Source organism: Homo sapiens, chromosome 11 (genome assembly GCF_000001405.40).
Source record: "Homo sapiens chromosome 11, GRCh38.p14 Primary Assembly".
Taxonomy (NCBI): Eukaryota; Metazoa; Chordata; class Mammalia; order Primates; family Hominidae; genus Homo; species Homo sapiens.
The window spans coordinates 57,260,664-57,277,428 of NC_000011.10; the positions used below are offsets into that span (position 1 = coordinate 57,260,664).

The 16,765-nt window shown below is 42.9% G+C and overlaps 1 long non-coding RNA gene across 1 annotated transcript in view; it reads right to left on the reverse strand.

The window, feature by feature from the left end:
- Positions 1–15,662, reverse strand: part of LOC107984364 (uncharacterized) — a 28,972-nt gene extending 13,310 nt beyond the window's left edge. Inside the window, exon 1 of the long non-coding RNA XR_001748067.3 lies at positions 15,627–15,662. This is a non-coding gene — a long non-coding RNA (uncharacterized LOC107984364). The remainder of the gene's footprint in view (positions 1–15,626) is intronic.
- Positions 15,663–16,765: the final 1,103 nt, after the last annotated feature.

Sequence of the window (16,765 nt, forward strand, 5' to 3'; positions counted from 1 at the left end):
TCACTTCTAAGCAGAAGCAGACCCTGCGCATGTTTACCGTGTTTTATTTTCCTTCTGTTACAAAACCAGTAATGGATAGCTGGGCACGATGGCTCACACCTGCAATCCCAGCACTTTAGGAGGCCAAAGCTGGGATTGCTTGAGCCCAGGAATTCAAGACCAGCTTAGGCAACATAGTGAGACCCTGCCTTTACAAAAAAATACAAAATTATCTAGGCATGGTGGTGCGCACCTGTAGCCCCAGCTAGTTGGGAGACTGAGCTGGGAGGATAACTTGAGCCTGGAGGTCAAGGTTGCAGTGCCATGATGGTGTCACTGCTCTCCAGCCTGGACAACAGAGCAAGACTTTGTCTCAAAACAAAACAAAACCCAGTAATGCCCCACATATAGGCTACCGATCAGCCAAGATGTCATGGGGTAGTGCTACAGCTGACCTGGGTGGAGATGCAGAGGGAGCAAGAGATACATTTGGTTGCTTTAAGCCGCTGGAATTCAAGAGTTATTTGTGATTGCAACATAATCTAACTTATCCCAACTTATACAGAATGGCCTCATTTTCCAGGATCACATCAACTTAAAATCAGCAAATTTTGAGATCCTAGATGGCCCTTCTCTAACCTCTAGAATCTGACTTTACACAGAATATATATTTGTTAAATTCATAGATGGGAACTCCTATTCCCTCTGAGTCAGATCCAGACTCCTTCATCTGCACTCACAACCCTCCATGGCCAGTCATTTCAGCCTTGCCTCCCACTACCCCACAAACGACCAATTTGCTCACTCACCTGCACATGCTTTTCATTTGTTCATTCATTCATTCATGTACTCTTTTATCCCATATGTACTGGTGCCTGCTCTGTGACAGGAAGTGTGTGTGATGCAGAATTGTTTACACAGACATGGTCTCCCTGCCCTGGTGGTTTAGTTCCCAGACCTTGGTCTTGCAGTTTCTCTCTGCCAAGAGCATTGTTCTGACTTTTCTCTGCCTGTCTAAGCTGCTAGCCCTCCTTCTACACACAACTCAAACCGTGCCTCCTTCCACTAACTCATCACCCCACTTACTCTGGCGCACCCTCTCCTTCCTCTCAACTCCTACACCAATCATTTTCTTATTGATTACGTGGCAATTAGTTACATCCTGCCTGATAGTCTCTCTCCTATTGTGTTTTGAACGACTATTGAAATCTCATTATTAAAATATGTATACCTTTTCTCATGTTCTTAAATAGGTCCATAGAAGCAGCACATCCCCTAATGCAGGCTGAACTAATTAATTAAAACCAAGTGTAGTACCTTTATTTACATTAGAAGACTTGTCTACATTCAACCAACTTTGACCTAGAAAAATGGCACTTTCCCAATAATCATATGAAAAAAAGCTCAACATCACTGATCATTACAGAAATGCAAATCAAAACCACAATGAGATACCATCTCACACCAGTCAGAATGGTGATAATTAAAAAGTCAAAAAATAACAGATGCTGGCAAGGTTGCGGAGAAAAGGAACACTTTTATGCTGTTGGTGGGAGTGTAAATTAGTTCAGCCATTGTGGAAGACAGTGAGGTGATTCCTCAAAGACCTAAAGATACACATGCCATTCTGAAGAATAGGACCTGGAGCCAGGAAACCTGAGAGCTGCCTAGAACTAAATCAGAGACCCATTCAGCTATGACAGAAAATACTCTCTTCATTTACATAGGGCATACACCCAGTAAATGACTTTGTAACTTTATGCTTTTCATTTACATAAGGTGTACACATGACTTTGTAACTTCACTTCATCCTCTTGGTTTTTTTTTTGTTTGGTTTTGTTTTTGAGATGAAGTCTTGCTCTTTCGTCCGGCTGGAGTGCGGTGGCATGATCTCTGCTCATTGCAACCTCCACCTCCCGGGTTCAAGCGATTCTCCTGCCTCAGCCTCCCAAGTAGCTGGGACTACAGGTGCATGCCACCACGCCCAGCTAATTTTTGTATTTTTTAGTAGAGACGGGGTTTCACCATGTTGGCCAGGATGGTCTCGATCTCTTGACCTTGTGATCCACCCGCCTCTGTCTCCCAAAGTGCTGGGATTACAGGCGTGAGCCACCATGCCCAGCCTACTTCATCCTTGTTATTTACATAGGGCATACACCAAGTAACCAATGGGAAATCTCTACAGGGTATTGAAACCCCAGAAAATTTTGTAACCAGGACCCTTGAGCCACTTGCTCAGGGCCTGCTCCCACCCTATGGAGTGTGCTTTCATTTGCAAAAAATCTCTGCCTTTGTTATTTCATTCTTTCCTTGCTTTGTTTGTGCATTTTGTCCAATTCTTTGTTCAAAATGCCAAGAATCTGGACACCATCCACCGGTAACATATTTTTGCCAGCAAGCCAGGAGGTAAGCCCAAAGTTTGGGATTTATTTTTCTCCTTTCTCTTTTCCTTTCTACTCCATACAGGGGAATCTCTTTTTTTTCTCTCTCTCTCTCTCTTTTTCTTTCCAACTCAGGAACCTTGGTGGGCAGTTCCTAAACACAGAGGTAACTGCAGGTTTCTGGCCATGGCCACTCTCTGGTGAAACTAAGGAGTTTCCGTATGGAGGCTCCTGACTGCCGTCACCTGGTTCAAGTAAGAGACCTGGGTCTTTTTCCCTTTTTTCCTTTTTCTTTTTCGGTCTTTCAGTGGTCACTTCCTAGCAGCTCCTTGGCAATTGAGGGCAACTGGCCAGGGCCACCCTCGGGTGTTGCCTGAAGGCCAAGGAGTGAATGGGGATAGTTGCCCTGCCTGGAGAGGGAAGGACTCTTTTCTATCTTTTTTGGTTGTGGTCCCTGATTCCTACATGTGGCTCAGCTCATTCAGGCAAATTCACATACGTTTCAGGACAGTTAAACCTTCTTTTCTTATGCTAAATTCTTCCCTTCCCCTACTCAACTGGCTAGGGACAAAAGAAACCCACCCAGCCTCCAGTTCCTAACATGAAAGTTCATGGAACGGGAAGCATGGGAAAGTGTGGCCATATCAAATTATAAGGACGCCGGAAGTCGAGGTCTTCATCCAGGGACAAAAGCAAAGTTCATAGTAGGCCATCGCCTCTGGAGGGAAAATATGCAAAGCGGCACCAGTGCCCACCTAAAGTCAGAGATGTCTGAAACTCTAAGATTAGACACCAAAGGGGGGACCCCCCAGGGGATCCCCTGGACCTCAAGCTCTCCAAAGGGGATGCCCTCGGCAGAAGTTCTGAGGCCTAGTACTAAGCCCTCCTTAGAATTTTCTCTCACAGCTGCAATACCGTTTGGCCCCAATATTGTTTGGAATCTGGAGTTTGCTGTTGAATGGGAAAGTAGGTTGGAGTTGTAATAGCTAGGCTTTTGTGCTGCTGTTCTAAGCAGGATCAGGCCTGGTTATTACGTGATGTTCTCCTGTGGTGCTGTCTGACCCCAGTGTTCTTTGGAGTCTGGGGAGGTTTGGCCTTTAAAAATCAAACAGCCATGGAAACTGCTGTACCCAAAATTTTGGTTCACACCCTTCATTGGATTACCTATTGGGGCAAACAAAGTAAAACTGGTGAGTTTGTATTGCTATCTCATGGCTAGAGTTCCAAAATAAAAGCTATTGGATCTTCATTTATGTGTGTTGTACATATGTCTAGATGTGCTTATTTGTATGCACACTTATTGTTGTATATTGTGTCTACTAAATTGGCTTATAAGTAAAAGAGCACTTATAAATTAAGTCTAAGCAATTTTCGAGTGCACATGATTTAAGTATAACTTTACTAAACAAGCTGGTTTTAAAATTATTGGTAAAATAAAAATAGAAATCCCTTCAGAATTGTCAACACATGGTCAGGTGCAGTGGCTCATGCCTGTAATCCCAGCACTTTGGGAGGCCGAGGCAGGCAGATCACCTGAGGTCAGGAGTTCAAGCCTGACCAACATGGAGAAACCCCATCTCTACTAAAAATACAAAATTAGCCAAGTGTGGTGGCACATGCCTGTAATCCCAACTACGTGGGAGGCTGAGGCAGGAGAATCGCTTAAACTTGCGGGGTGGAGGTTGCAGTGAGCCAAGATCGCACCATTGCACTCCAGCCTAGGCAACAAGAGTGAAACTTCATCTCAAAAAAAGAATTATCAGCATACATTTCTGTCTGGATTTTATATTTGTCTCTGCTAGATATTTTGAGGTGTCAGGCTTTGGCATAGAAGGTTATAAAGCTATAAGCCAAAACAAAATGATCTTGGTTTGCATGCCTTTTTCTGACAAATGAGAGTAATTTAATGTTGGTAGCTAAATCTTCTGAGTTATTGGCAAAAATACATATGTATTTAACTTTGAGGCTTTTACTTAGGTTTAGGTGAGCACCTGATGTTCCCTGGCTATTCAAAACAGTGATACTGTCTAATATCTCAGTTTACAGAAGTAATCTGGATAAACTATTAAAAATGAAAGAATTGAGTACAGTAAATAAGATAAATATTTTAGGTAAATTTTTGTGTAAATTAAAATCTTAAAATTATTGTTGATGCTCATTGAATATCTGGGTTATTTCCAATTAAGAAGGGGTTGCGATATGGGGAAATATGTTTCTAAAATTGGGGGGAAAGTTTAGATAATAAAATATTCCTTAAAACCTCATAGAGAATAGGAGACATTTGACTAATTAACATTTTCATAGTTAAAGCTCTTAATCTTGATTAAAGAAAAATAAGAAATATTGTAAAGAAATGTATTGGCTGTTTGGCAATTCTTTTTTTAAATATAATTAAGAATGGAGCTGGATTTAGTGTGGAGACAAATTTCACATACCTGCTTGCTTCACACTATTTTACTGTTTTTCATGGATAGTGCTGGCACTGGAATACTTACTGGTCATGTGCCTAGAGTAAATTTCTTGATTGCACAGGATGTATGTTGATATTAGTGGACTTAAGGATATTAAATTGTGTATCAGGAATAAAATATTCATTATGTGGGTTTTTAGGGCATCTGGGTAACAATGTAGCCTCCAGGGTAGATTGAGTAGGAAAAATTTATGGTTGATTTTCTGTTTATTTGTTTTTGCTTCTAATTTTCTTTTGTTTGCTATTTATTCTCCTCTGGGCTTTGCTTATGTGTGGAGATATATAAAGCCATGATGCTTTCTTTTTGTTTTTTTTTGTTTTTGAGACAGAGTTTCACTCTTGTTGCCCAGGCTGGAGTGCAATAGTGCAATCTCGACTCACTGCAACCTCTGCCTCCCAGGTTCAAGTGATTCTCCTGCCTCAGCCTCCCTAGTAGCTGGGATTACAGGCATTTGCCACCATGCCCAGCTAATTTTTTGTACTTTTAGTAGAGACATGGTTTCACTATGTTGCCCAGGCTGGTCTCGAACTCCTGACCTCAGGTAATCCACCCACCTCAGCATCCCAAAGTGCTGGGATTACAGGCATGAGCTACTGTGCCCAGCTAGCCATGACGCTTTTTTATTTTCTAGCAGAAGGATTTTATTTGGTTCTGTGAATAGTTACTTTGTTTCCTATGCATTTCTAGCAAGTAATCATTTATTTCATTTATCTGGAATTCCTAGACTACCTTTGTCCAGCCTGCAAGAACTGATGGAGCACAACAGCTTTTTCTTAAACCTTAAACTAACTTTTTGGATATTAGGCTTCCTGATACTTTAAGTGCATTGAGTATACATTCATCAATAGCATTTTAGTCATATTTCTCTCTCTGCCTAATTTCTCCAAAATCTGTAAATTATTTGTGAATATTCTTAATTCATGGCAATGCATTTGTTTGCATACAGTTGAGCAGGGTTGCTAGGGCCACTCAGGGAAAGAGAACCCTGAACCTGACATGACACCAATAAGGTAAGAATTTCTTACCAGTCAGACTTCTGCCCCATCTCTCTGTGCAAACTGGTTGAATGAATGGTAAAAGATTATAAGAAGAAATAGGAATGTAAATTTTGTAAACCTTTAACATCTTTAATAGACTTCCCAAAATCAAACTTCAGCTTTAAAATTGTCATTTCTGACATCTAACTTTGGGATGCTACAGAGGGCCCCTGAAGCATCTGAAAGAGAGGTAAACAGGATTATCTGACATGTTTAGTTACATGGGAAGCACTGTCAAAATAAAAAAAAAATGTTTAATCTTTTTCAGGTTATATTTTAGTGAATATTAATATATGTTACAAAATTGTATGGGATTTCTAAAATTCTAAATATGTCTGAGTATATAATATCAGTTATAATGTTTATTATGTTAAGTTACTGTAGACCACAGAAATAATCAAATTTCCTTGTATAAAACTACTAACCCAAAACTAAATGAATACCAAGAAAATACATTTCCAGATTTGCATGCTAAATCAGCTGATACTGAAATTGTTTAGATATACAATTTGAATGAACTCCATGGGCTAAGTCAAATTACCTATGATAACCCATGAGTTATCAGTGCTATGCATCTAAACTGGAGAAACAAATGGTATTCAGGAGGACGTAAGTTCAACGTTAAGCATGGACTCATGGAGAACCAGAATGGCTGCCTGTCCTTCCTGAGTCCTAAAAGCTCTTGTTATTAAAGGTTCTGCATTCCATGGCCTGAGAAGGACTCTGTACTTCTATATTTGAGAACTTGTGAGCAAACTGTAACCTAACTTAGGAATATGCACATGTAACAATAGCTGAATCTTGGCCAATCCCAGCAACCCAAAATCAGGCCAGGAGATAAGGTACTTGTTAACACATGGAAGGAGAGATCACCTGCTCTGGATAATAGTGGCCATTTTTATATTGCCCCCTTCCAAACAGATGGAATTACTTCCTCTGTAGTAATTAAGCAGAATGTTTCAATTCATCTCTATAATAAACATTCTTGACAGCATCGGTATCCACCCCCGATATTCCCATTCGATCTTTTAACCAAATTCACATCCTCTTGCCTAGAGACCATCAAGCTTCAGATGATCATGTGACAAGGTTTCCAGCAAGTTCCAAGTGAAGGCACTACATCCTGCCATCAAGAATCTACCCTGTCTCCACTAGACAGAGTAGGGCAAGAGTTCTATGATTCCCAATAGGTAGGGACTACACCCCAAGCCAACACGAAGCAGTTACAGAAGAAAGACCATCAGTCCCTCTGCCTCCCATAAAGATTTATGGGGATCACATCTTTCAGGTGGGAAATGAGGTAATAGAATAGGGCCTGGAGGCAGGGAACCTAAGAACTTCCTAGAACTAAATCAAATGGAAACACTTGAGCTATGACAAGAAATATCGTCTTCATTTACATAGGGCATACACCCAGTAAATGACTTTGTAACTTAACTTCATCCTCTTCATTTACATAGGGCATACACCAAGTAATCAATGCGAAACCTCTAGAAGGTATTGAAACCCCAGAAAATTCTGTAACTGGGGCCCTTGAGCCACTTGCTTGGGCCTGCTCCCACCCCATGGAGTGTGTTTTCATTTGCAGTAAATCTCTGCTTTTGTTGCTTCATTCTTTCCTTGCCTTGTTTTTGTGTTTAGTCCAATTCTTTGTTCAAAACACCAAGAACCTGAACACCCTTCCACCAATAACAATTCAACCCAGCAATCCAATTACTGGGTATATACTCAAAGAAATATAAATGGTTCTATTACAAAGAGACATGCATGTGTATGTTCATTGCAGCACTATTCACAATAGCAAAGACATGGAATCAACCTACATGCCCATCAATGATAGACTGGATAAAGAAAATGTGGTACATATACATCGTGGAATACTATGCAGCCATAAAAAAAGAATGAGATAATGTTCTTTGCAGCAACATGGATGGAGCTGGCAGCTATTATCCTTAGCAAACTAATGCAGGAACAGAAAACCAAATACCGTATGTTCTCGCTTGTAAATGGGAACTAGATGATGAGAACACATGGACACATAGAGGGGAACAATGCACACTGTGACCTTTCAGAGGATGGAGGGTAAGAAGAGGGAGAGGACTAGGAAAAATAACTAATGGATACTAGGCTTAATACCTGGGTGATGAAATAATCTGTACAACAACCCCCATGACACAAGTTTGCCTGTGTCACAAACCTGCACATCCTGCACACGTTCCCCTGAACGTAAAATAAATGTTAAAAAATAAATAAATAAAATGGTGGGGAAAAAAAGGTAATTTCCTATGGTTCAACCTAATAATTCTACTACAAAAAGTAATCTGTTAGCTTTGGAGTCCTCTCCCTTGCTAGGGGTTTCTAGGGAAGAACACACACGACCTGTCCTCACAGGGGTCCCACCCACAGGCCCCAACACTTGCTAAAATCTGTGTCCCTTAGAGAAAGCGTTGGCAGGCATTGGGGAAATAACTGTTTCTGGGGCATCAGCCCCTTTAAACCTGCTGACCAAGTCCTCCGCTCTCATTCTGCAGTAGGAAAGTTTACAAAGATACAGCAGAAAGAACAAAGAAAACCAAAAAAGGAGAAGGTACTAATTGTTGAGCATTTACTATGTGCCAGGCCCTTAGACTAAGTGTTGCATATATATATGCCTATTGATCCTCGAAGACAATCTTGAAAAGTGAGCACTTCCCATTTTCCAGAGAAGGAAACAGGCTTACAGACATGACGTGTCGTGCTCACGGTCACTGAGCAGTGAAAGCCAGTGTCCCCTTATCTGTGACATTCACACAGCTGGTTATTTGGGAGTATTTGATGGTTTTGTGAGTATTTGATGGTTTTGTGAAGCCTGAGCTGACTCCTCTTGTACCCATCTGCTTGACTGGTACAATCATCTCCCTCACACAGATGCAGAGGTGAGCCCCGAAGACATTGAGCCTTGCCTCTCCCATCACACGACAAATGAATGGCAGGAGGATTGCTTCAACAGGGCATGCCAGAATCATCCCACTCAGCCTGGTAGCTTCATTGGCACGGTTGAGCTGGCAACAGGACACTCATGCAGGGCAACTGAATAATCAGAAGCAGTGAAGCCTGAACTCTAACCACTATCATTTTAAAGATTATTATGTGCAGTTATTTCAGCTAATTAAACCTTGAATGCCTGCCAGCTCAGCTTCCAGCTCAGAGAGGAAATGCAGGCATGCATGGCCTCAGCTTCCCTTCCAGCCTCTGTCTGCCTTTCAGGGGGAGCAGAGCTCAGGGCCTGGGAATGGAGGGAGCAAGGAGAGCAGCAGAGCAAGGGAGGGGCCCTCAACCACTGTGGCCACTTCCCCATGGGAACGCAGAAGTTCTGATCCTTGCCACGGGAAAAATCCCCTGACTTTTGTAGCCTCTCAGGTATGGGAAGTTACAGCCTGTTCTTTACTGGTTCATCAAGGAAGAGTCGGGTCTGGCTTGAAGCCTGGAATCAATGCCAAGAGCAAAGTTGAGGTCCCAGCTTTGTGGCTGGTAGCTGTGAGGACCTGGACAATCTTCTGTTTTCTCACCTGCATGCTCTCTGAAATTTAGCTTTTGCACAAAAATGTGTAGACAGGGTACCTAGTGCTGTGCCTATCCAATACAGTAGCTACAAGCCACATGGAGCAGTTTAAATTTCAATTTCAATCAATTAAAATTAAATTAGATTAAAAATTCCATTTCTCTGTCACACTAGGCAATTTCAAGTGCTCAGCAAGCCTACTGTATTGGACAGGGCAGCTACAGAGCATCTCCATCATCACAGGATGTTCCAAGGGACAGCACTGGCCCTGTGATTGAGGGTGTGAACCCTGATTCGACTCAAGGCTGCAATCCCAGCTCCACCGCTTACTGGTGACCCTGGGCAAGTTACTGAACCTCCTCATCCTCAGTTTCCTCATCTATAAAATGGGAAATAACAGGATCCAGCCCAGAGTTTTTGTAAAGATTAAATGAGAAATGTGTGTAAGATACTTAGAAGAATGCCAATAATGGTAAGCACACTATAAATATTAGCTCTTAGTAACGTATTTTGAGGAGTATGTATAAATTCATTCTATTACAGGGCTTTACAGTTCTAGGAAGCAGTTTCAAAATCACTATCTCATTTGAATTTCACAAGGGTTCCATGGGGCAGGCGGTGGCACAAGGAGTCGGCTGAACCCTTTTATTAATACAAGAAGGCAAACTAAAATCCATAGGTTACCTGACTGCCTGAAAGGGTGGCAGAACTAAGAACTAGGACTTGAACTAAGGGAATAATTCAAGAACTAACATCTGTAGACTCTTTTACACTTCATGTCCTATTTCAGATTTAGCATAATCTAAGGAGGCCAGGAATGTGCCTCCCATGTTAAGAGTGAGGTTCTGCGATGGGAGTAATCCCAACGCTCACTAGCCCTTACATAGCACAGCCCTTGGTGCTCTTGCACTTGGCCTCCCTCCCTCCCCATGTTCCTTGTCCATTGCTACCTTGGGCTTCCTTACAGCATGGGGGACCCAGGGTAAGTAGAGTTTTACATGGTGGCTGGCTTCCAAGAAAGAGGTGGTGAAGCTGCTAGTCCTCTTTGGTCTTAACTGTATGCCAGGCACTGTCCTGTAATCTCCACAACTCAGTAGGGTAGGTACACATATGATTCCCATTTTAGTGATGATGAAGGTAAAGCACACAGAGGGTAAGCAACTTTCCCAAACTCAGCCAGGAGGTGGTGGAGTCAGGACATCAGAGCCCAGGAAGTCTGATTCCAGCCTGGCTTCAGAGATGTCACCATTCACCTGCCCACATCCCAGGACAGGTGCAGGAAGCAGGAGGACAGAGCTCTTTGTTCCCAGGGCCTATTTCTCTCCTTCTCTCACCTGTGTCCAAGGACAGGAGAGTACAGCCCCTCTCCCAGCCTCAGGGGATTGCTGGGGGACACAGGTGCCTTTCTGTGCCTCTTGCTATCACCCTGTATTCCTTTGTTAGTGCTGCCATAAAAAAGCAACACAGAACAGAGGGCTTAAACAACGTAAATTTATTTTCTCACAGTTCTGGAGGCCAGAAGTCCCAGATCAAGGTGTCAGCAAAGTTGGTTCTTTCTGAGGGCCATGAGGGAAAGATCTGTCCCAGGCCCCTTTTGTTGGCTTGTAGATGGCCTCAGTCTTCCCATGTCTTCACATCCTCTTCCCTCTGTACAGGTCTATATCCAAATCTCATCTTAGGAGGACCCCAATAGTATTGGATCAGGGCCCACCCTAATGATATCATTTTAATTCAATGACCTCTTTAAAGACTCTATCTCTAAATACAGTCTCAGTGTGAGATACTGGGAGTTAGAACCTCAATATGTGAATTGGGGGACATAGGGAACAGTTCATCCCATAACACCCTCTGTCTGCCTTCATCCTTCTTGCTCAAGTCAATTCTTGGCCACCTGGAGATGTCAGTGGGAGCAAGGTTCTGGGGGCAGAACTGTGACGAGCTGATGAGTGGAAAGGAGTGTTGATGAAAGTGGAAACTCTGGAGACCAAATGACAGCCTAAACCACTGTCCACTGAAATGATGGGGATGGGCCTGTGGGGAAGGGAAGCATTATTAATCATTGCAATTAGCCTGAGCAACATAGCAAGATCCTGTCTCTACAAAAATAAAAATAAAAATTGCCGTGTGTGGTGGCGTGTGCCTGTAGTCCTAGCTACTCAGAAGGCGGAGGCAGGAGGATACCTTGAGCCCAAGAATTTGAGTTTACAGAGAGCTATGATTGTGCCACTGCACTCCAGCCTGGGCAACAGAGCTAGACCCTGTCTCTAAAGATTTTTTTTTTAATTCACTGAAATTTACTGACTACCTTCTCATTGCATCCCCATAACAGGCCTGTGATAACAAATTGGTGTTATTATCCCATTTGTAGTTAAGAAAAATGATACTCAGAGTGATTTTTAAAACATCTGGGTTAAGGAAGCTATGGAGCTAAGGATCATGGGTCCTAACTTCTCAGGATAAGAGCCAGATCAGGCTGGGCACAGTGACTCATGCCTGTAATCCCAGCACTTTGGGAGGCAAAGGTGGATAGATCACTTGAGGTCAGGAGTTTGAGACCAGCCTAGCCAACATGGTGAAACCCTGTCTCTGCTAAAAATACAAAAAATTAGCTGGGCGTGGTGGTGCACACCTGTAATCCCAGCTACTAAGGAGTCTGAGGCAGGAGAATTGCTTGAACCCAAGAGTCAGAGGTTGCAGTGAGCCCAGATAGTGCCACTGCACTCCAGCCTGGATAACAGAGCAAGGCTCCATCTCAAAAAAAAAAAAAGCCAGATAATTCATTCTATTTGTTTGGTGATTATGTAAAATTAATAACGAAGCTTTACTCTGAGTATGAAAATAAACAAAAACTATTGCTATACCCAAAAAAGTCTCTGACACACACACACACACACATACACACACACACACAAAAGGGTATTTCATTCATGCTGAACCTATGCAAAGTGAAATGAAGTAACTCATCAAAAGTCACCACCTAGCATATGGCAGAGCTGGTGCTGATTCATCCATGTTTTTTCAACATTAGCATGCAGAAGGGGTAACTGGAAAAAGATCCCACTACCCCAGAGATCTTAGAGCAGAGTTCTGGAATGAGTAGCCTCAGCAGTCACACTGCTTGGTGGGTGTAGAGATGGAGTTTGAAAGGTTCTGGGTGTGGTCAGCAGTATATACAAATGGTGCCATAGATTCCTTCCCTCTCTGCTCTTGCTCACAACTCCTCACATCAAGAAGTTAGGTCTTTTTTTCCTCCCCTTCAACTTGGGGTGGCCTTTTGATTTGCTCTAGTGACTGAAATATGACAGAAGTGACACTGTGACCATTCTGAACCCAGACCAAAGAGGACTAGCAGCTCTGCTACCTCTTTCTTGAAAGCTAGCCACCATGTAAAAGTCTAGTTACCTTGGGTCCACCATGCTGCAAGGAAGCCCAAGGTAGCTATGGACAGGGACATACGGAGAGAGAGGGAAGCCAAGTGGAAGAGTACCAAGGTACCAGATACATGCATGAAGCCTTCTTAGGCTTTCCATCCCAGGCCCAGCTTCCAGATAAATGCAACTGAGTGAGTGACTAGAGCAGAAGAACCACCCAGCTGAACCCTGCCCAAATTCCTGACCCAAAGAATAATGAGAAACCATAAGTCATTGTTGTTTTAAGCCATTAAGTCTAGGGATAGCTTATTTTGCATCAAGAGTTAGTTGAAATACTATTCGGAGGGAGAGGAGCTATGGAGGTATGTTAGAAAAAACATACGTCATCAACAGGCAGGGAGTAGGGAGGGCAGGTCAAGACAAGAACCAGCAAGAGAATATCATGAGCCTTAGCTGGGCAAACAAGGTATTCTACAGTCTGGCCCCATGACGATCCCTGGCACTTCAAGCACACATAGCTATGGGGTGATCTCTAAGCCTCACACAGCTTTGCCTTTGCACATGCCATTTCTTCCTTCTGGTGTGCCATTTGCTCACTTATCCTTCCAGATCCAGTATCAAAGACAGACCAAAAACCCATAAGAAGGCAATGGGTTTTAAGGCCCTTAGAGTCTGACTCTTGTCTATTTCTCCAGCTTCATCTCTTACCCTCTCCTCTCTCTGTGCTCCAAACACATGGGTCTTATTATAATAGTTATTTGCACCTTTTGCTCCTTCCCTTGGACCTTTTGCTCCTTCCCTCTACAGAACCTTTGGAGGTGCTATTTCCTCTGCTAAGGATGCTTCCACACATCCACACTCATTCCACTTGGCCTAGTTAATTCCTGCTTCTCCTTCAACTATCAGCTGAAGAATTTCATCTTCAGGGAAGCCTCCCATAGATCCCAAAGTCAAGTCTGGTTCCCTTGTTATTTATTCTCATAGCACCATATTCCTGCCCTGCCCCCAGGGTTATTCTGAGAAATCTGATGCTCCTGTTCTCATAGACTGTCAGTTCCTTTAGGTCAGGGACCATATCTGTCTGTGATCACTACTATATCACCAGTGCCTAGAACAGTTTGTGGCACATAGTAGATGCTCAGTAAATACCTATTGAATGAATGAATAAATATTATCTCCTCTAAATAGCTTTAATTGACACTCCTCTCCCTCTGAGATTCAGGCTTTCTTTCTCTTCTTAGTTCCCAGGACACTTAGTTTTTATCTCTTATCATCTTATGCTGAACTGTTCTGGTTATGTTTGTCACCCCTTCTAAACTGTGACTGTGATAAGGCCCAGGTCCTGTTTGTTTTTCTATCCCAGGAGCACAGCTCCGAAACTGGTGCAGACTAATTTGTCCATTGTAAAATGTGGAAGCTTGGAAAGATAGAATGTGGATATGCATGCTAGTGGTGAGATTCCCCATCTCATCATATTCAGAAAGCCAAAGGTGTTCTTTAGAAAACCATGCCAGTGTACCAGTCAGAAATCTCAAATAACTGAAAAAGTCAGCTGCCTTCAGGTATGGTGGGATCCAGGGTCTCACATGCAGGATGTGGCCTCTGTCTTTCTCTCAACACTATGCTTTGCTGTGTTAGCCTCAATCTCAGGCAGGCTTTATCTATACTTACTAAATTCCAAAAGCTCTAGGTCATATCCTTCTAACTATGAGTCTATTAAGAGAGATTCTATTCCCCAATAGTTCAAATAAAAGTTCACCAATAGATGCCAAAATTATTATAGTAAAAACGAAAAAAAAAAAAAAGGCTTACCAATAGAATCTCATGGGACCAGTTTGGTCACATGCCCACCCCTGGGCCAATCACTGTGGCCTTCAAGAATCAACACTGTAATTTATCAAACATACATCACTTGCCCATTCCTGGAGCTGGAGATAGAATCAGTCTCACTGAACCTATGGGTTTAAAGTGGGCTCAGCAACCAGGAGACAGGGCAATGGAAACAGAGCACATAAAGTCCACCACATTCACTCTGCCCAGACTTTACAGCTCTGTTCACTGGAGGTCCAAACACACCGAAGAGTCTGCAAGGGATGTTGCTGCAGAGGCCATGACAGGCTGCGCATGGTGACATTTCCCACTCACTGTGGCTCTAAGATTTCACTTGAGCGGAGCATAGCCTGGCTTTCCATCATCCTGCTCTCCTTCCACCAGCCCAGAAGCCTGGTGGAGTGAAAGCCAGAGACTCCATGACTAAGGTGCCCTGGGTTGGAGATTCCCCTCACCCACTCCTCCTCCAGAGAGAACACACACCAAGAAAAAGCACTTAGCCTTGATGCTGGTTTCCTGTCACTGCCCTTCCTATTGAGACGTCATTGGCCTTGGCTCCCCTCCTGACTTTTCTATTTTTTTCTACCTCCTGTTAAAGAGGCAACAGGTCCGTAAAAGATTTATCCCATAACCTAGTGTTTCAGGCTCTATCTCCCTGTTGGTTAGACTCCCTGACAGATTAATAAATTAACAATTTATTAATTGTTTTGTTTGTTGGATGGATGGATGGATAGATGGATGGATATACGGACAGATGGACAGATGGACGGATGTATGGATGGATGGATGGATAGATGAATGGATAGACAGATGGAGGAGTGCAATGAAAGGTGGATGAATTGGTTCTGAGTGCCCTCAGAACACTCTATCTCCTCTTCTCATATTTACCACCCTAGGCTCCAGATTACTGTAAATATAGAAAGCCCTTTTTCTTGTCCTGAAATCAGTTTCCCAGCCCTCTGTTATTATAACAATGACTGACATTTAACATGGTTAATTCTTATCCAGGCACTTACCCTGAGCTAAGTACTCATTCAATCTCCACAATTCCATTGTCTGGATGCTGTTATTGTCTACAGTTTACAGTGAAGGAAACCAAGGCTCAGAGACAGGAACTTGTCCAAGGCACATAGCCAGTCAATGGCAGAGCCACAACTCAAAGTGTGTGACCTTAGCCACTATCTTCTAGGGCCCTATGAACACGAACCTCAGCCCTGTCTACACCAATTTTCTCCTTCTCCCTTGAACATGTCATATCTTTATTCATGGAATAAGGTCTTCCTCCTCACCTCTTTGTAGACTCATATCAAGGAATACATTCATCAAAGTAACACTAAGTTACACTCTGAACAAATAAACCCTCAAATTTCAGTAGCTTATCACAACCAAGATTTATGTCCTACTCATGTTATGGACTAATGTGGGGCAAGTGGCCCTCTTCCATCTGATAGCAGGCCTCTAACAGGGGAAGGGAGAAGTGGAAGAGGAGCACTGGCTCTTTGCTGCCTCAGCCTAAAGGGAACACATGTCACTCCTGCTCACATTTCACTCACCCAACTAATTAGTGTGTGGACATTTGGCGAACATATCCCATCTCTGCCACAAAGAACCATACACTCCTGCCAGGGGTCATGCAGAAGATAAAGGCTCAGCCAGCCCAGTCAGTACAAATTCGGAGGGTGGGGGAGGAAAAAAGAGCCAAGATTCAAGCTGGTGGCTGGGGAGTGGAGAGAGATGGATAGGATTCCAGAATTAACCAGGTACAAAGCACCCAACACTTGGGTGGTACCCCATGTCTATTGTCTTGAATATTGCTCACAAGTAAGCCAACCCTAAGCTTCTTGGCTAAGACTCAGAACTCTTGTTATCTAAGTTTATGGCTGTTAATTACAGGATTTGACCTGAATTAACTGAACAATGCAGTAAGAATAACAATCCCTGACTTTTCAAATTTTAGATTTTCCAAATCATACAGCAATCATCTCATTTGACCCTCACAATAACCCTATGACGTGGGTATGCTATCTCTACCTCTATTGTGCAATAAGGAAATTTAGAGAAGGATGATGTAATTGACCAAAGTCGCTCAAAACCTGTGCGTGCTGCAATACATCTCAGTGCCAGTTTTCTAACACATGCTAGGGGCTCTTTCTTC